This window comes from Homo sapiens, chromosome 7 (assembly GCF_000001405.40).
Source record: "Homo sapiens chromosome 7, GRCh38.p14 Primary Assembly".
Classification (NCBI taxonomy): Eukaryota; Metazoa; Chordata; class Mammalia; order Primates; family Hominidae; genus Homo; species Homo sapiens.
The window spans coordinates 91922378-91943194 of NC_000007.14; the positions used below are offsets into that span (position 1 = coordinate 91922378).

General features: G+C 39.7%; 1 protein-coding gene and 1 long non-coding RNA gene across 3 annotated transcripts in view, besides 3 other annotated features; one reads left to right on the forward strand and one right to left on the reverse strand.

The window, feature by feature from the left end:
• LOC124901698 (uncharacterized) lies at positions 17473-18474 on the reverse strand. Its single transcript, XR_007060431.1, has 2 exons — positions 18287-18474; positions 17473-18187 (listed from the first exon to the last, which is right to left on the reverse strand). It is a non-coding gene; the product is annotated as an uncharacterized LOC124901698 (long non-coding RNA).
• Positions 18026-18587: an enhancer, noted in NCBI's record as "NANOG-H3K27ac-H3K4me1 hESC enhancer chr7:91569717-91570278 (GRCh37/hg19 assembly coordinates)". NCBI's record gives its function as "activates a minimal SCP1, AML or CMV promoter by ChIP-STARR-seq in primed H9 embryonic stem cells {active_cell/tissue: H9 hESC(primed)}" and the evidence as "EXISTENCE:reporter gene assay evidence [ECO:0000049][PMID:30033119]".
• Positions 18316-18425: a silencer, noted in NCBI's record as "silent region_18365". NCBI's record gives its function as "represses an Ori minimal core promoter by ATAC-STARR-seq in GM12878 lymphoblastoid cells {active_cell/tissue: GM12878}" and the evidence as "EXISTENCE:reporter gene assay evidence [ECO:0000049][PMID:35858748]".
• The window catches only part of AKAP9 (A-kinase anchoring protein 9), a 169812-nt gene continuing 167479 nt past the window's right edge, over positions 18485-20817 (forward strand). For both annotated transcript variants that reach the window (NM_005751.5, NM_147185.3), the window contains exon 1: positions 18485-18770. In NM_005751.5, the coding sequence (NP_005742.4) occupies positions 18723-18770 (48 nt within the window). In that variant the 5' untranslated portion in view covers positions 18485-18722. The remainder of the gene's footprint in view (positions 18771-20817) is intronic.
• Positions 18626-18775: an enhancer, noted in NCBI's record as "active region_26256". NCBI's record gives its function as "activates an Ori minimal core promoter by ATAC-STARR-seq in GM12878 lymphoblastoid cells {active_cell/tissue: GM12878}" and the evidence as "EXISTENCE:reporter gene assay evidence [ECO:0000049][PMID:35858748]".

The following is a 20817-nucleotide window of genomic DNA, read 5'->3' on the forward strand; positions in this document are numbered from 1 at the left end:
TCTACAAAGAAATTTAAAAATTAGCCAGGCTCAGGAGTTTGAGACCAGCTGGGGCCACACAGTGAGATCTTGTTTCTACAAAAAAATTTAAAAATTGGCCAAGTTTGGTGGTGCACACCTGTAGTCTCATCTATTCAAGTGGCTGAGGTGGGAGGATTGCTTAAGCCCAGCAGGTCAAAGCTACATTGAGCCATGATCATGCCACTGTACCCCAGCCTGGGTGACAGAATGAAACTCTGTCTCAGAAAAAAAAGAAAAGGTAAATGAATTAAAAATTTAGTTCCTTCATTTGTGCTAGCCAAATTTGAAATGTTCAATAGCCACATGTGACTAGTGACTACCATATTAGTGAGTGCAGATATAGAATATTTCTTTAATCATTGTGGAAAGCTGTATATAATAACACTTGGCTAATAAAGAGAAAGAAAAGAACAAATAAAGATCATTTCCATCATTAGAATACCATCTTAATTGATTTGGGGAACTATCAAAGAATGTTGAGTAGTTTTACTACAAAAAGATTTAGTATATATTTAAGTGACTATCAAAAAGCAAAAGACGGGGAGAGAGAGAACTAAAAGACTTCATTCTTTCAGTAAATATTTACTGAGCACAGACCATGTGCCAAACTGGGATACGGCAATGAACAAAATAAAAAAAGTCACTGTTTTGGTGGAACTTCTGGTATGAGTTGAGAGAGAAACAAAATAAACAAATGATGTGATAAAAGAAAAACCAAATTAAATTTAAAGGAGTTTAACTGAGCAATGAATGATTCACGAATTGGGCAGCCCCCAGAATTATAGCAGATTCACAGAGACTCCAGCGCAGCCACATAGTGAAAGAAAATTTATAAACACAAAAAAGGGAAATAATGTACAGAAATCAGAAGTGAGGTACAGAATGGCTGGATTGGTTACAAGTTGCCATTTGCCTTATTTGAACACAGTTTGAACACTTAGCAGTGTATGAATGGTTGAAGTACAGCTGCTGGGATTAGCCAAGACTCAGCTATTGTTACAGGCACATACTCCTAAATTAGGTTTTTAACCTTGTCTACCTATTAAGCTAGGTTGCAGTTTGTCCACAAGCACTCAAATATAGAAGTACAGAGTCCTTCTCAGGCTATATTTAGTTAGCTTTAACAGATGTCAGGTAAGTTTTTTGTGGCAAGTGCCACACAAAATAATAATAATAATAATAATAATAATAATAATAATAATAATAATAACAGAGCTGGAGCTGGGTGCACTTGGAATCCCAGCTACTCTGGAAGTTGAGGAGGGAGGATCACTTGAGCCTGGGAGTTCATGGCCAACCTGGGCAACATAGTGAGACTCCGTCTCTAAATAAATAAATAAACAAATAAATAACACTGGGCAAGGAATGGGAGAGAACATGTTTATAGGGTGTGTAGGAAAGGCATTCTCTGATAAGATGATAATTACACAGAGGCCAGAAGGGATAAGGAAATGAGCCATTTGGCTATATGGAGAAAGAACATTCTAGGCAGTAGGAATAGCCAAGTGCAAAGAACCTGAAGTAGATCATATGCTTGGTTTTTTGGAGAAAAAGTAAGAAAGTCAGTGTGCCTGGGTCAGAGTAGGACTAGAGGATACAGTAAGACTAAACATTTTAAGTAAGACTAAAAATACAAAATATTAGCCAGGTGTGATGGCATGTGCCTGTAGTCTTAGCTACAGATGAGGTCAGAGACCAAATCCAGAAGGCCTTATAAGGATTTTAGGTTTTACTCTGAATGATATGGAATGCCATTGAAAGAGGTTTTGTTTTGTTTTTGAGACGAAGTCTTGCTCACTCTGTCACCCAGGCTGGACTGCAGCAGCATGATCTCGGCTCACTGCGACCTCTGCTTCTGCTTCCTGGCTTGAAGAGATTCTCCTGCCTCAGCCTCCTGAGTAGCTGGTGCCCGCCACCACACCCAGCTAATTTTTGTATTTTTAGTAGAGACGGGGTTTCGCCATGTTGGCCAGGCTAGTCTTGAACTCCTGACCTCAGATGCTCCGCCCATCTCAACCTCCTAAAGTGCTGGGATTACAGGTGTAAGCCACTGCACCTGGCCCATTAAAGGGTTTTGAGTGGAGGAATGACATGATGTGACTTACATTTTACAAGGATTAGTCTGGTTACCGTATGAAGAATATATTACAAGGAAGCAAGGGTAGAAACAAAGATATCAGTTAGGATCTTGGCAAAATTCAAGGTGAGAGATGATGGTGGCTTGGACCAGGGTAGCATTTGCAGAAGTGAAAACAACTAATAGGGTTATGGATCTATTTGAACACAATTTACTATTAGACTGACTATGGGTTATAAGAGAAACAGAAGAGACAAGGATGACTCCAAGATTATCAACCTAAGAAACTCCTAAAGTAGGACTACCATTTACTGTGATAGGAAGGACGACTGGAAGAGGAGATTTTGGAGGGAAAACCAAAGGTTGGTTTTAAACATATTTAAATGTGTGTTACTCGTTCAAGTAGAGTTGGTAACTAAGTTGATAAATAATCAGATAAACAAATTTGGAGTTCAAGGGAAAGGTCCAAGTTAGAAATATAAGTAGACAGCCTATCAGTGGAATTTTAAGCAATGGCACTATCAGGGAACCTGCCCCCGATAGTCACGTAGCTTCTTTTCTATTTTCCCTAAGTGTTGGCCGGGTTGAGAAATAAAGGGACAGAGTACAAAAGAGAGAAATTTTAAAGCTGGGCATCTGGGGGAGACATCACATGTCGGTAGGTTCCGTGATGCCCCCTGAGCCATAAAACCAGCAAGTTTTTATTAGGGATTTTCAAAAGGGGAGGCAGTGTACGAATAGGGTGTGGGTCACAGAGATCACGTGCTTTACAAGGTAATAGAATATCACAAGGCAAATGGAGGCAGGGCGAGATCACAGGACCACAGGACCGGGCGAAATTAAAATTGCTAATGAAGTTTTGGGCACCATTTTCATTGATAACATCTTATCAGGAGACAGGGTTTGAGAGCAACCGGTCTGACCAAAATTTATTAGGCGGGAATTTCCTTGTCCTAATAAGCCTGGGCGTGCTATGGGAGACTGGGGCTTATTTCATCCCTACAGTCTCGACCATAGAAGACGTCCACACGCAAGGGGGCCAGTTTAGAGGCCTACCCTCAGGGGAGCACTCTCTTACTCAGGGATGTTCCTTGCTGAGAAAAAGAATTCAGCGATATTTCTCCCATTTGCTTTTGAAAGAAGAGAAATATGGCTCTGTTCTGCCTGGCTCATCAGCGGTCAGAGTTTAGGGTTATCTCTCTTGTTCCCTGAACATTGCTGTTATCCTGTTCTTTTTTCAAGGTGCCCAGATTTCATATTGTTCAAACACACATGCTCTACAATTTGTTCAGTTAACGCAATCATCACAGGGTCCTGAGGTGACATACATCCTCCTCAGTTTACGAGATGACAGAATTAAGAGATTAAAGACAGGCATAAGAAATCACAAGGGTATTGACTGGGGAAGTGATAAGTGTCCATGAAATCTTCACAATTTATGTTTAGAGATTGCAGTAAAGACAGGCATAAGAAATTATAAAAGTATTAATTTGGGGAACTAATAAATGTCCATGAAATCTTCACAATCCACGTTCTTCTGCCATGGCTTCAGCTGGTCCCTCCGTTCGGGGTCCCTGACTTCCCGCAACAGGCACTAGATGAGATCACTCACTATCAAAGTAGTGAAAATCTGAGGACTTATCTTGGTCACTGCAACATTTAGAGGTCAGAAAAATAAGAAATAGCCAACTGTGAGCACTGAATTTGACAACATGTTGGCCATAGGTTACTCTGACAAGAATAGTTTGGGTAGAGTGGTGAAGGTGAAAGCCGGCTTCAAGTGGGTTCAAGAAACAATAAAGAAACTTGAGACAGTGAGCACAGACAACTCTTTTGGGGTGTTTTACTGCAAAAGGAATCACAAAATGGTGTGGTGGCTAAACTGCCCTGCCACATGGGGTTGAAAGTTTTTGTTTGTTTCTTTTCAGATAGGAGGTTGTCATTTTTATATGCTGATGCAATGATTGATCTATTAAAGAGGAAACCGTAGGTGAAAGAGGGAACAATTACTGAAACAGTGCCCTAGAGCAAGAAGAGGGAAAGGGAGGCAATGGAAGGGTTGGCTTTAAATAGGAGCGATAGAATCATTTATTTTTACATGCAGGAAGGAACTTGTAGAGTAAGCAAAATGTGGGTACATGTGCAGATATGTCAACTGATATGGTGGTGGGAGAATGTGAACATTTCTTCCAGTTATGTCTATTTTCTAAGTAATTAAGAATCAAGCTGGGCATGGTGGCTCATGCCTGTAATCCCAGCACTTTGGGAGGCTGAGCCAGGTGGATCACCTGAGGTCGGGAGTTCGAGACCAGCCTGACCAATATGGTGAAACCCTATCACTACTAAAAATACAAAAATTAGCCGGGCTGTGGTGGCATGTGCCTATAATCCCAGCTACTCAGGAGGCTGAGGTGGGAGAATCGCTTGAACCCAAGAGACGGAGGTTGCAGTAAGCCGAGATTGCACCACTGCACTCCAGCCTGGGAGACAGAGGAAAACTCTGTCTCAAAAAGAATCAAGATCATTACCTAAAAGCAGGAACTGTGTAGAAGGTATTGGAAGTTTATGGAGAAAAAAGATATTAATTCAGTCAACAAGATAAATTGTTAAAAGAATTGTCTATGAAAACGTAGTAAATTTAAAATAAGACTGGTTAACATAATTGAGTGCTTTGTTTTTAGCCAAGTTCAGCTGCTGGAGTGAATTTTATTCAAGGTAAGGGAGGGAGAGAGGCAAAATCAAGAGAGATAGGTTATATGCAAGGAGTGAATATAGTGATGGTCCATAAACCTAAGCTGGATAAGGCAAGAAGTAAGGATTTAATTGGGTGCAAGAAGATATTAAGGTCAACAGATTAAACATCATTATATAAAGAATTATTGGGAGTTAGGGTCCCCAAGGAAATCAGCTGAAAAATAAGAGGGGGTATTTGAGAATGGGATACTTTAAATTGAAATTAAGGGGTACAGACATTAGTAATGACAAAGTCTACAATGTAACAGTAGGTAAGGGTGGCTTAGGTAGGATGGAGGACAAAATCACTGGAAGATAGAAGGTCAAGTAACTGAAGCCAGGCGCGGTGGCACATGCCTGTAATCCCAGCACTTTAGGAAGTAGACACGGGCGGATCACTTGAGGCCAGGAGTTCAAGACCAGCCTGGCCAACATGGAGAAACTCTGTCTCTAATAAAAATACAAAAAATTAGCTGGGCATGGTGGCATGTGCCTGTAATCCCATAGTCCCATCAGCTCGGGAGGCTGAGGCATGAGAATCGCTTGAACATGGGAGGCAGAGGTTGCAGTGAGCTCAGACCGCACCACTGCACTGGGTGACAGAGTGAGACTGTCTCAAAAAAAAAAAAAAAAAAAAAAGAAAAAAAGGTCAAGTAACTGAGGGGTCAGGGTACTGGAAGGATCCTCTACATGAATGTTGAAATCACCGAGAATTATGATAGAAATTATAGTAAAATGAGTCAATGAGGGCAAGTCTAAAATTCAAGGAATGAGGGGCTGAGATCTGCAATAGAACGGTTGATGGGTAGTACCGTCTGATAGCATGAACTTCAGAAGGGATCACGGTCTGTGACACAGTAAAGGGTAAGACTCTTACCCCACCTCTAAGCCCAGTAACACTACGGCTTTGGGAGAGAAACAGCTCCCACATGAGAAGACTGCAGGGAAAGCAGTATGCTAGGGGAGAGCTGAAGGGAGAAACATCAGAAAAAAGGTTTTGAGATATCTAGGATTTTGCTAACTATAATACAATCGTGAGTTCTAAAGGGCACATTGGAAAGGTTTGGTTTGAAAGATGAAAGAGATTGGGGGAGGAAGCAAAAGACACGGGTTGTATTACAGAATGCGCGAAAGGTTCTCTTGAGTTGTTTAGTTTTGTTTAAAAAAAAAAGGACAGTAGAGAATTGAAGCCATTAGCTAGATGATTCAGTTGTTTGTTCTGCTCAAGTATTCTACATTATTATGTTAATCTGTTTAGTTTGTCTTGTGCAGATATAACTTTCATAAATTATCAAAGATGAAACAAAGGAGATTAAAGAGAAGAGATCAAAACTGTATACAGGCTCTGTTAATTCATCGTTTCCACTACTTTCTCATCTCTAGTTCCTAGGGACTGCAGTGATTGCTATAGCAATTTGGATTAAAATACATAGAATGGAAATTGTCATAAGACATTTATTGAAAATCAATTTATGTTTTTCATTATCTGAACAGGTAATGGAAAAAAGAGTAATCATGAAAAGTACAGCAATACTGATACTAAAGTGAGTTATCTGTTTCTAATTTTATGTCTTTACACCTGAGCTGTTTTTTTTTTTTTTCATGAATCCCTTGGTCAGTCTATGCAGAATTGAATTTCATTGATATACAAATCTACATTCCCTCCTGTATAAGAATGCAAAACTAATCAAATCACAAACAAGGACAAATTTTGTGAAATCATTATTTATACCAGTATAGTATAACACGTTAAAAATACATGTATACAAATAAGTTGTATATTTTATATTATAAGTTCTGGAGAGCTATTTGGTCATGAGTACATTTGTAAATAAAATGAAAATCAAATACTGGTTGGCAAAATGCTCAACCTAAGACTTTACAACCAATGAATATCATACTAAAAAATACAATATTTATATAGTATAAGGATTGGGAACTGGAAATGCTTGATGGTGACCTCTTGTAACAGTCAAAATGAATGACTTTTGAGTTATAAAGTGTATTCTGTGAACATCACCTTTATTAGTTTTTTGCTGATAAGGACACTTGCATTTTACATATCCACCTCACCTTATATGGTAAACGTAATTCCTTACCATCATCTAATACCCAGTCCATTGCATTGTCTCAAAAATGTATTTTTTCAGTTGTTTGTTACAAACAGAGTTCAGAAGATGCCTACAAACTTTATTTGATTATGTATCTATGTCTTGTTATTCTAGGACTGTCCACTTTTCCCCCTCCATTAGAGAAAACAGTTGTACGAGATCTAGTCATGTAGAATGTCTCACATTCTAGATTTGGATGACTGTTTTCTCATGGTGTCCTTTAACTCATTCTTTCACCACTTGGATTCCATATAAACTGGTGTTTGGCTACAGAGGCTTAATTAGATTCTGGTTCTTTTTCAAGGCACGAACACTACACAGGTGGTACTACTGCACTTCCTGTTGCATCGCATTATGAGTCATGTAATGTCTGGTTATTCCACTCTGAGTGATAGTGAGTCTGATCAGTAGGGTTAGATGGTATATCCTGATCCTTTCATTAGAAAATTTTCAATCAGTCTTACAACTAATGGCTTTAACACCCATTGATAAATGTTGCCCAGATCCATTATTTCTTTGGGGTTTGCAAAACAGTTATTTTTGAATTCTATCATTTATTTTGCATTTTATCTTTCCTCAGTGTTTTTATGCTACTACATTGGTGTACAGTGGCATTAGTATTTTTAAGGGATTCTTTTTTGTTTCCATTTTGATTAATTTTGTTTTTTAATTATGTAAAACATTGCATTTATGTACATTCAGAGAAGTCTACCTTTACATCCTTTCTCATCTATCCTCTTCTCTCCCTCCCTTTATAGGTAACTGCTTTTTAAAGTGATTGGTGGCAGGGTGCGGTAGCTCATGCCTGTAAATCCCAGCACTTTGAGAGGCTGAGGCGGGCAGATTGTTTGAACCTAAGAGTTTGAAAACAGCCTAGGCAACATGGTAAAACCCCATCTCTACAAAAAATTAAAAACTTAGCCAGGCGTGGTGATGCATGCCTGTAGTCCCAGCTACATGGGAGGCTGAGATGGGAGGATTATCTGAGCCCTGGAGGTTGAGGCCGCAGTAAGCTGTGATCGCACCACTGCACTCCAGCCTGGGCAACAGAGTGAGACCCTGTCTCAAAAAGAAAAAAAGTGTTTGGTTTAGGTTTCTATTGTTTCAAATACATACGCACACGCATATAACTTCTTTTGTTTACGTGAAACTGTCACATTATAAACACAGTCCTATACCTTGCTTATATCATCTAATAATATTCTAGAGATTGGGTCATATCAGCATACAGAGATTGAGTCTATTTCACAGCTGTAAAGTACCCTATGTGTGGATCTACCAAAGATTATTCAATCAGTTCTCTATTGAAAATTTGGTTTGTTTGCAGTCATTTGTCATTATACACAATGCTGCAATGAATAGACCTGTATATACATTATTGTACATTTTTGCCAGTAAATCTGTGGGTTGGATTTCTAGAAATGGGATTACAGGATTAAAGAGTAAATACATATAATCTTGCTAGTTTCTGCAAAATCCTCCTTGACAGGAATTATGTCATTTTGCATTCTTACCAGCACATGTAAGAGTGGCTGTTTCCCCAAAACCATGCCAACACAGCATGTTGCAAACTTTTGGATTTTTGGAACCTAATTAATGTATATATAAAATGGTATCTAAGTGTAGTTTCAGTTTGCGTTTGTCTCATTATTGGGCAAGGTCCAGCAATTTTTCCTGTTAAAGTACTATTTACATTTCTTTTTCTGTGAATTGTTAATATATTTTGCCTGATTTTCAAACCTAGATTATTTAAAGATGTGCTTCCTCTATTAGGAATTATAACATTTATAATTCTCCCCAAGTTTGAATTCTATAACAAAGACTATAATTAATATCATAAAAAATAAACAATAATTTCGCATGTGTGTTGATACATATTTGGCAAATCATTACTTACAGAATAGAAGGCTTGCCTTCAGACCACCTGCATCACTGGCACTGCCATATAGGCTACTTGTTAAACATGACCTGAGAAATTTATGTTCCTAATAAACACTCCATGTAATCCACTAGCACATTAAAGTTTGGGAACCACTGTAGTAGAAGATATGAAATCAATAAATCAACCCATGTAATTCATATGTTAACATAATGTCTAAGTTTTTTTAAACTTCTATAGAATGTATAAAGATTAAAGTTAAAATCTGTCTCGTAAAGGAAAATCAGCAAACTTTACAACTCTAAATAATAATTCTACCTGTAGACTTAAAAATTTTGTATTTTAAATGATTAAAAAACAGTGCTATGTCAGAACCAGAAATACCATTTTACCCAGCAATCCCATTACTGGGTATATACCCAAAGGATTATAAATAATTCTACTATAAAGACACGTTTCCACGTATGTTTATTGCAGGACTAGTTACAATAGCAAAGACTTGGAACCAACCCAAATGCCCATCAACGATAGACTGGATGAAGAAAATGTGGCACATATACCGCATGGAATACTATGCAGCTACAAAAAAGAACGAGTTCATGTCCTTTGCAGGGACATGGATGAAGCTAGAAACTATCATCCTCAGCAAACTAACACAGGAACAGAAAGCCAAACACCACATGTTCTCACGCATAATTGGGAGCTGAACAATGAGAACACATGGACACAGGGAGGGGAACATCACACACTGGGGCCTGTGGCAGGGTGGGGGAAAGGGAAGGGAGAGCATTAGGACAAATACCTAATGCATGTGGAGCTTAAAACCTATTTGACAGGCTGATAGGTGCAGCAAGCCACCATGGCACATGTATACCTATATAACAAACCTACATGTTCAGCACATGTATCCCAGAACTTAAAGTAAAATAAAATTTTTTTTAAATGGTACTATATCGTATCCTAGTTTATTTGTCAATACAGATGTCAAATTCAATACTTTCTTTCAAACTTTTAGGTAGCTTTTAGTAAATCATTGCTGCAGAGATCCAAATGGTACTCCAGTTGTCGGACTAGAAAGATAAATTTATGATTGTTGGCTGATAACTTACTCTGCAAGACTCTTTAGCGAGGTTCTATAGATGGCTACACTCACACAGAGGAGTGTATAATCAATCCAGAATTACCTTTCATACCTTCACAATGGTGAATTCTATTACTGGTTTCTTGGATGAAGGATGGGGGGATAAAGACTGATATGAAAACATGTCAATTCTGAAGATATAGAAGAGTTTAAATATTTTATAGTGTTTCCCTATTTCAAAAAAATGGCATTACAGTTTACATGAGATCTATTTGTTAAGCTCTTTAAAGACGCAAAGAAAAGCTATATCCATATCACCTTTGGCAATGGAGGTTTTGTGCAAGGACACAGTGGGATGTAAGGTAGCCCCGGATGTTATCTTTTCAGTTATAGAGTTTCTCTAAGCACTTCCAAGATGGGAAGCAATAGTGGAGCAGGCCTTATGGAAAACTGGAATCATGCCTAAACTCTAATGACCTGAATTCTCTTAATTCACAATGCGTCTTACTTTCCAAGACAGAGAGAATGTTATTAGATCCAAAAATCACCATTCAAAATGGAGTGCCAAAATTGGCTTGAATTTTATGCCACTCTAGCTGACAGGAGGTCAGCCTCCTTCATGTCTAGTCTTTATAGTGTCCAAACATTTGTAGACCAGGATAAACAAGGCTGGCTTCACTGAAAATCAACACAAGCCATAGTACCTAGGGGCAGTTTTCCTAAGAAGCCAATGTAACAATAGTGAGTATTTGGCATTTCACAGACTGTTGACTGAAACAGAAAGACTACTTGAAATTTCTTTTCACATTTAAACTAAATATATCTTGACTCTAAAAAACAACATGGACACTTGACACAACTCATTTGGGAACTCATTTAGTTTATATTATGTGACTGCTTGGCAATATGAAAATCCTTGGAGATCTGAAATTAGTATGTATAGACTATTATTCAGTAATCAATTGCAACATCTTGGAATATAGGCTTATAATTAAATCCTTTCATAATAGTAACACCTTAAATTTCTCTAACATTTCATTAGATTATAGGTCATTTTAAAAGAATACTCGTTTCATAAATCATTATTTCAAAAGAATTATCTTTTGAAACCTAAAACACTAATGAATTTGTCCTAAGTTTTCTTTAATACATTCTGTAAGAAGGTATTTACTCCTTTTAAACTCTAAACTGGTTTCGTTTGGAGACGCAGCTGAGCAAAATGGAGCAAGACTTAAATCAGGGGGCCTAGGACTAGAACTAGCTGGGACTTTTGCTACCCATCCATGGAAAATTGGTGAGTCATTTAATCTCTCAGGCCTTAGTTTCTTATTCTATAAAATGTGGAAGATGTACTATTGTGCTTCTTCCTATTTTATTTATATACCTTTCACTTCTATTAGTAAGAATAACCATTTTTGGTTTTAGCATTTGATGTCCTTTTCCTTCCGTCTAACCCTAGTTACAAAGGGCACCAATCATATTTGCAAAATAAGCTCAATTGGACGTCCGATAAAAACTGTAACATTGTGTATGGATTTCTGGCATTGTTCAGAATGTGATTAATCAGTCATGCACGTGGAGCCCAATGAGCCCCTGTCTGACTAGAATGGGAAATTGGTGAGAGGGAGCAGCTAGAGTTAGGGCTACACAGTTAAACTAGGGCAAATGATAGAGGGCCTTGAATGGACAGATTTAGGAATTTGAAGTTCATTTTATGGGTAGCAAGAAGTAATTTTATAATAAAATAATTAAATGAAATTTGCATTTTAGAAAGCTAACCTGACAGTTATGAGGACCAGAATGCAATGGGGAAGAATGAGGCAGACATATTGCTTGGATTCTTCTGGAATTTTTGAAATATGAGATAAAGGACTAGTCTACCATGGTGGCAATGGAAAAGGAAATTTTGCAAAGGAGTCAGATGCTGGGGAAAAGAAAAGCCCACAGGGCATAGTATCTAACATGATGGATGATGTAGAAAGGAATAAAATATATGACTTGGCTGGGCATGGTGGCTCACGCCTGTAATCCCAGCACTTTGGGAGGCCAAGGCACACGGATCACTAGAGGGCAGAAGTTCAAGACCAGCCTGGCAAACATGGTGAAAACAAATCTCTACCAAAAAATGCAAAAATTAGCCAGGCGTGGTGGTGTGCACCTGTAGTCCCAGCTACTTGGGAGGCTGAGGTGGGAGAATTGCTTGAATCCAGGAGGCGGAGGTTGCAGTGAGCTGAGATGGCACCACTGAACTCCAGCCTGAGTGACAGAGTGAGACCCTGTCTCAAAATGAAAAAACAGAGATAACTCCAAGATATCAAGTTGAGGAGAGTGGAAGAAGATCATTAACTGAAATAGTTTGGAAGTGTTGCCACTGGAGGGAAGAACTTGTGCACAGTTTGAGGTGGTTTGCATGGCAAGTGAAGGTTGGAAGTGTTTGGTGGAAATACTAACTGACAATGTCTTCTAAAGAGAAGCAAAGCCATGAAGATAGACATAATGGTTAAACAACTGAGTAGATCATTACTCTACCTAGTTTAGAAAAAAAAATCATAGATGCAAGTTTCCTCTGAAAAATTTTGGTCCTGTTTATAATCAAATAACAGTTTTATTACCATAGGATCATTTATCTAGATCTTTGGTATATTAATCTAGACTTCAAAAATTGAAGGAAGTAATTAGTAAAATCCTAGGGAATGAAGACAGGTTGATTAATGAGCACAAATAAACAGTTTGGAGAAATAAGACCATATTTTGACCATATCAAAATAATGTTTGATATGTCAGTAGGGTGACTATAGTGACTATAGTTTACAATAATCTATTGTATATTTCAAAATAGCTGCAAGAGAATAATTCGAATGTTTCTAGCATAAAGAAAAGACAAATATTTAAGGGGGATATATTTAAATATTTAAGGTGGTGGATATCCCTGATTTGATTTTTACAAACTGTATGAATATTAAATCATCACATGTACCCTGAAAATATATACATCTATTAAATATTAATTTAAAAAATTTAAAAATAAATAAATACTTCTGAGGAATGAGAAAGATGAATATCTGTTTGTGAAGAGTCATTCATGAGATGTTTGAGGGAACCTGACTCAGTACAAGATAACATTTTAAAAATGGTTTGTATAACAAGATACAGCATTCACTAGTGGGTGAGGTGCCTTAAAGAACTGGGTTAAATTTTAATAGCACATGTACATTTTAGAGATTCAAGGAAAATGGTATGATTGAATTACATATTGATAATTTACTCATGTGAAAACTCCAGAAGACCACATGCTAAAGAAAAGGCAAAACCAGCATTGTAAGGGAAAAATGTGATCTTCATTTAAATGAAAATGAGGTTAATAACTCAATCATGTTATATTGCTTTTAAAATATGTGTGACACAAATAGGAATTAAGCATATATGAAACACAAGTATGCTATGGAGAGACACATAATTCAAATATTTAATGACAATCATTTGGTTACTTAAATTAGTTATTTGAGAATTTGGCAGAGATTCAGAGAATAGCAACAAAAATGATCAAATATATTTTAAAAAGACCTAGTAAGAAATGGCCAAAGAAATATTATTTAATCCACAAGAAAATAGGCTAAAGACAAACTGTAATGTCTCGCCTCCTGATTTAGGAGGTATATTTTGTCCCAGACAAAATAGGAGAGTTTTTTAAATTATTATTATTCTTGACAGAATCTAAGGAATTGCTTTAATTGCTGCTGCAGCTTTTGTGAGGTCAAGGTTTAAGTGATATGTATTGGTGACTAAAATGAAATGACTGATAGGTTGTACCTGACTAATTTGTGAAAGATCAAATAACATGGAAATGACAACACATCCTGGGAGTAGGGTGGTGGGGTGGTGGAGAAAGCTCAAAATATTTAACTACAGTATTAGAACAATCTTGTTTGCTGATTCACATAGGTATCCTACATACACTAGTTTGCTATCTTACCAATGAAGAACTAGTACCATTCAAGTGGAAAATATAAAAAGTATCTTTAGAAATCTTGAATTTAGGCCTGGCACGGTGGTTCGCACCTGTAATCTCAGCACTTTGGGAGGCCAAGAAGGGTGTATTGCTTGAGCTCAGGAGTTCAAGACCAGCCTGGGCAACGTAGGGAGATCCCATCTCTACAAAAAAATTTTAAAAATTAGCCAGGTGTGGTGGTATGCACCTATAGTACCTGCTACTCAGGAGCCTGAGGTGGGAGGATCAATTGAGCCTGGAGGGTTGAAGCTGCAGTGAGCCGTGATCGTGCTACTGCACTCCACCCTGGGCGACAGAGTGAGAACCTGTCTTAAAAAAAAAAAATCTTGTATTTAATCTCTCAGGGGAAATGAGTGTTGTGCGGTATTCTTACTATTGGAAGGCACATCAACACTAAAAGAAATGTAGCTTAATTAAATCATGAATTTTACAGATGTTATAAACAGAATCACTAGAATGTAACCCCAATAGAGGAGACCAATTAGATTTTATTTCCCTTTTCAATTCTGGTCCATTGGACATGACTGCCAGAGGCTCTTTATTGAGAAGGATACTGAAGCAGTGCTTGCACTCATTTGGAAATAATTAATGATTGATTTACAGTGCCTTCTATGGAAGCCTCCAGTGACCTTCACCTTGCTATATCCAATCCTCATTTTACGTGACCTATTAGTAGCAGTTGTCTTGGTTCATCACTCCCTCCTCCTTCACTTTCTTCGCTTGGCTACTGATTCCTTTCACATATCTAGCCACTGTTCTCAGTCTCATTTGCAGATTCTGCTCACCTTGCCTCCCTCTTAGAGTTGAAGTATTCCAAAACTCAGTCTTTGTAACACCTTTCTATCTAAACTTGCTCCTTAAAGCAGCATGGTCCAATAGAAAAATAATGTGAGCCACAAATGCAAGCCACATATGTAATTTGAAACTTTGTAGTAACTTCATTTAAAAAAAAAAGAAACTGGTGAAATTAATATATATTTTATTAAACCCAATAGGTCCCAAATATAATCATTTTAATAATATAAAAATAGTGCAATATTTTGTTATTTTATTTTAATATTAAGTCTTCCAAATCCAAAGTGTTACACTTACAGCACATCTCAATTCAGACTAGCTAATAGCTGTTGTATTGAATAGCATGGCCCTAGATTATCTCATCCAATTCCTTAACTTAAAATACCATCTACATCCTGAATACTGACTACTCTCACATTTCTATTTCTAGCTTGGACCTGTCTCCTGAATCCAGACTAACTGATGTCTTAGGGTGACATCAGTTCTTGGATGCCTAATGTGTATGTCTAAATTACCATGTCCAAAACTGAACACTTGGTCCCCAGATTTTCTCTTCTCCATTTTGGTTACTGGCAACTTCATCACTTCAGTTGCTCAAGCCAAAAATGTTGGAGTCAACCTTGACTTTTCTTTTTGTCTCAAACCTCATATCCAATATACAACTCCTATGATACTATTGGTTCTATGTTCAAAAGATATCCAGAATCTGATTCCATATCTTTTCCTCCACTACAGTACTATGGCCCAAATTCCCATTATCTGGGATTACTGAAATAACATCCAAACTGATCCCCCTTTCTCCTCATAGCAGCCAAATGTCCGTGAACAACATAAGCCAAATCATGTCATTCATCTGCTCAAAATTCTCCAATGGCTCCTAATCTTACCCAGAGTAAAAGCTGAAGTCCTTACAATGACCTTTAGAACTCTACAGGATCTGAAGCCGGGCATGGTGGATCACCTGTAACCCCAGCACTTTGGGAGGCTGAGGCGGGCGGATTGCTTGAGCTCAGGAGTTTCAGACCAGCCTGGGCAACATGGTGAAACCCTGCCTCTACAAAAAATACAAAAATAAGCTGGCTATGGCAGAGTGCGCCTGTGGCCCCAGCTACTCAGGAGGCTGACGTGGGAGGATTGCTTGAGCCCGGGAGGTTGCAGTGAGCCAAGATTGGGCCACTGCATTCAGCCTGGGTGACACAGTGAGGCTCCGTTTAAAAAAGAAAGAAAGAAAGAAAGAAAAGAACTCTACAGGATCTGGCCCCCTGTTACTTTTCTGACTTCATCTCCTACTATTTCCCTTGTTTATTCCACTCTAGCCACCCTCACCTCCTACTCTTCCTTGAGAAGGTCCATCATGGTCTCGCTTGAGGGCCTTTCTTTGGATTTGCTGTACCCTCAACTATCTCCGTGGCTCTCTACCCCCACCCACCACCTGCTTGTTTTTTGGGACAGTGTCACCTGTTGTCTAGGTCCTTACTCTAGAGTGCAGTGGCACAATCTGGGCTCACTGCTTTGGCCTCCCGGCCTCAAGTGATCCTCCCGCCTCAGGCTCTGGAGTAGCTAGGACTACAGGCTCCCGCCACCACACCCAGTATTTTATTTTTATTTATTTATTTATTTATTTTGTAGAGACAGGGTTTCGTCATGTTGCCCAGGCTGGTTTCGAACTCCTGAGCTTAAGCGATCCACCCCGCTCAGCCTCCCAAAGTGCTGGGATTACAGGCGTGCACCACCCCGCCCAGCCTCCTCATCTCTTTCAAGTCTTTGCTGAAATATCTTCTGAAAGAATCACCTGAGTAAGTGAATGACATGACATGAATTAATGATTGGTATGACAAGTTATGACAGAATAGGTGCCATAAGGAAGAGTCAGAACACTAGTGCCCAATGCTTGCTCTTCTAATAGAAGTTAACACAAATCTAACTTTCAACATTGATTGAGCACCCATTATGTAAACTAGACATGTATATGATTGGCTGCTATCAGTGAAGGAAACATTGAAATAATCTTGTTGCTTTGGAAGGTATTCTTGAACATTCTCAGCACCTACAAACAGCTGACTTATTTAGTCACCGAGAAAGCAGTATCCTTTAACAAACAGGAATAGCTTTGGATACCCTGGGGCTTCCCCCTCCTAGGCAATCAGCATCTACACTCATAATCCCTCAATCCAGGCAGTATTTAAATCACTGCACTATTAGAACACTTAGTTCTAGTCCTTACTCTTAATTTGATGGGTGACTAAGTAAATCACTTATTGCCTCAATTCTTTCATCCCTATGATAAAATGTCTAATTTTACCTGGTTCCTAATTCAGGTTGAGATAACAGGACAATATGCACTTGGCTGTTAGAAGTTGGCAGAATGTATGCATTACGGAGCTTAAGAAAAAAATCTTTTTTAAAGCTAAGATTTCTAAATGAGGGCTATTTAAAACTCATCTTCAGTTTGTGGTAGACTTAAGGTCTTTATTATCTCCTTTTTTGTTTTTTAACCTCAATTTTTCACTTAACACCACTTCTACGCTTGAACTCATTTTAGCCTATTTTTTGTTCACAACTGCTAGTTTTTCAGTCCAACCTAGCTCAAAGCAACGGAGAAACATGATAAATCTGAGTAATCAACCAGAGACATTAAAATGTGTAGTTCACTCCAGGAATGGATGTGAGCATTGGAGGGCAGGGAGACGAACACAAAGGACTGAGGGAGCACATGTCGGGGAAACAAGGAAAGATAGTAATGTTAAATTTATAAACACTGCTCAATTCAATCCAAAAAGCGTTTATTGAGTGCAGAGCTCTGTGCTGGTCATTTTAGTAAAGCCAAGATGAGCAAGACTTATGATGAGTCTCTGTCATCAAGGAGCTGGGAGTATGAGCTGAACTAAGACGCACACAAATTATTAAAATATGGTGCAGGGTACTTAAAGGAAGTCCAAGGAGAAATAAAGCTGACATTATTCAGGACGTTTTAATATGTCAGGGCAGTCACATATATTAACAACCCTTCCAAAAATTCCAGGTAGGCTCAGGGAGGATAGGTAACTTGTCATTAACGCTAGAAAGTTAGTGTAGTCTGGCATTGTCCCTAACCGAGGTTCTAAAGCTCAGGCTCCTTTCAGAACACTACTGTTAAAGGGAAGCCCCAAAGAGTCGGGGGAGGGGACTAAGTTTTGACTGGATGTGTCTCGGTTGCCGTGGAGGGAACAAGAGGTCAGAAAAGCCATTTGGAGGCAGCGTGTGCGATGGGACTATAAGGATGAACCGGAGATTGAGTGGGAACCAGTGGAGGGAAGAGGGAGGGACTTTTCAGGCTAAGGAAGTAATAAGAGCAATTAGCTGCTCTCATAATTCTTGAGTCAAGCAGTTAATGTAGGTAGAAAACCTGGCGTCCGCCCCCCCACCACCCCCCACCGGAACTTTTCCGTTGGAGCTTGTAGGTGTTCGCCAATTTCACCATTAGGTGTGTTAGTTTTGTAACCTGAAGGAAAAAAAAAACTCATGTTTTAATAGCAGTGGATTCCTCGGACGGAGGGTGGGGGTCAGGCCAGGAGCCTCTGGCACACTCCGTCTCTCCTACCCCTCAGCTCGGCCGCCACCTGTGAGCCGTTGATGTGCGGGAAGGGCGCTCTCTACGGCGGGATCCTCGCTGGTAGGAGGCAGGTCCCAGGCCTGGCAAGGGTTGACCCCGGAGGGCTGGGCCGGGGCGGCACCCCAGGAGCACCTGCCCACGAGGCGGCTGCGCGGACAGACGTTCCAGCCCCTCCCGCCTCGCCGTGTGTTTACGTGGAGACGAAGATGGCGGCGGCGGCGGCGGTGACGGCGCTTCCCGTGCGGCTGAGGACGATCCGCCAGTGAGCGCGGAGACTGCTTCCACTTCGGGCGGGGGAGCGCCGGACCGAATCGGCTCTCTAGGCCGTGGAGCTTGCCGTCCCACCTCCGTCCAAATCGACCTTTCCTTTCTATCCCCAACCACCCCTCAACCCCTGTTTTCCCCTGCCTTCCTTGCAGAGGCCATGGAGGACGAGGAGAGACAGAAGAAGCTGGAGGCCGGCAAAGCCAAGGTAGGAGAGCCCGAGGCAACCGGGCCTGCGGTGGGAGGCGGTGGCTAGCACGGGGTGGGAGGGGGCCTGGGAAGCGGAGTTCGCCGCAGCCCCAGTGCACTGCCCGAGAGGGAGGTGCTGCAGGGTCTTAGGGTCTGCATCTCTCCTCGCCCTCCTCCTTTCCCCTTTTTCCAGTTGGGGGACAAAGCCTTGTGCTAGCTGATAATACTTCCGCGAGGATTGAATATTGTGGCTCCTTTCTCGTGAATGTCCAAATAAAACTCCCCTTTTACTGTATTGCTGTAAACTAGTGTTTAGTTGCTTCTAAACCTCCGATCTTTCATTTTTTTAAGGAGTTTTCTGGGTGGTGCAGGCATTGTGCTTTCCAGGGTGGGGATTTAGGGCTTTTCTTTATTGGGTTGGGGATTTGTGCGCTGATCATCAGCTTGTCTTCCTTAGGTAGCACGCTGGCACTCTTGGGTGTGTGTGATTGGCCTGTGACAGCTGTCTCAGCAGTGGCTTGTGTGTGCCACAAGTGCCAGCTGTGAACTTGGCTTTAGGGGCGTTTTTAGAAGCGTGTCTTTGTATGTTTGTACTTGAAGGTCTTTGTCATGGCATGCGCTTTTGTGTCCTATGGAATGTTAATGCAGTCTGTGAATGGAACTTCTGAGGACCGAAAGGTTCCATATGCCAACACCTATAGAATTCCTGCTTTAAATAATTTAGTTGTTATATATCTCTCTGGCGAATCCTGGTTGTGTGTGTGTGTGTGTGTGTGTGTGTGTGAACGGTTATGGAAAAGCCTGTAAAGCAAACAATACAATACACAATTATACACAGGCATCGTTCATTGGGCTTCATGAGAAATTTAACATATACAGAATATAAGCTGCGTAGCATATTTCTTTTAAAAATTACATATTTGAGCATATATTTTGTCTGGGCTCAAAAGCCCCCTTCCTCCCTTCAATGAAGTCTTCTTTTATGGATTATATTATTTTTAGAGATAATTGTTAGCAGTCATACTTGGACAAAAATTGTATTACAGGTAACTGTTTTTCCTCTCTTCCTTTCTCTTCTCCTCACATAAACAAAGGAAACCAGGTTAGTGATTTATTATCAATGAAGGGCCATACCGCAGAGATGCAGTGATAGAAGCTCAACACAAGTTTGTTAAATGAATATATATATAAAAACTAGCTTCATATTTCTAAAATATAGTTGACTTTCCTATAAGCTCCCTCTATTTAAGATCAAGGTTTAAATGCTTGTATATAGCCAGGTAAATTTTTACTTTCGAATCTATAAATGGTGGGAAAGGGGAATCAGGGTATCTTTAGAAGTCCAAAGCCTACACTTGTGCAATCTGAGGGGCTGAGCAAGCTCTATGCATCTACGGAAGTAGTGGAGGTGAAGTGTGTGCCCCTCCAAAAGCATTGAAGATCTGATTAGATGTCTTACTTGTCTGTTACCTCACAATTTTTATTGCCTGCCCCCAGAAATGTCTTTCCTGAATATATGTGAAGCAGTCCTACAAAACATGGTTTACTTTGGACATACACATTTCATAATAGAGGATTTATTTAAATTGCTTGCAGTTGTAGTTGATGTGGCAAAATACAATTCTAGTTTCTTTGTGTGTTTCTTTATCTTTCAGAATTCTATGTATGGGGTAAAAACCTGTTTAAGGTGAATTTTTGTTGTAAAAGATTATCTTCTTTTAGAATTTAGCCCTTTTTCCAGTAAGATATAAATCTATGAGACTTGTAAGGCAAGGTGTGTTTGCTGCAACATTAGCTATACAATATAAAAATGCTGACATTGGGAGCCTGGGGCGAGAGGATTGCTTGACACCAGGAGTTCAAGACCAACCTGGGCAACATAGTGAGACTCTACAAAAAATTAAATAAAAAAAAAAAATAGCAGGGCATGGTGGTGTGCGCCTGTATGTAGTCCTAGCTACTCAGGAGTCTGAGGTGGGAGGATCACTTGAGCCCAGGAGTTCGAGGCTGCAGTGAGCTATCATCATGCTACTGCACTCCAGCCTGGGCAACAGAATGAGATCCTG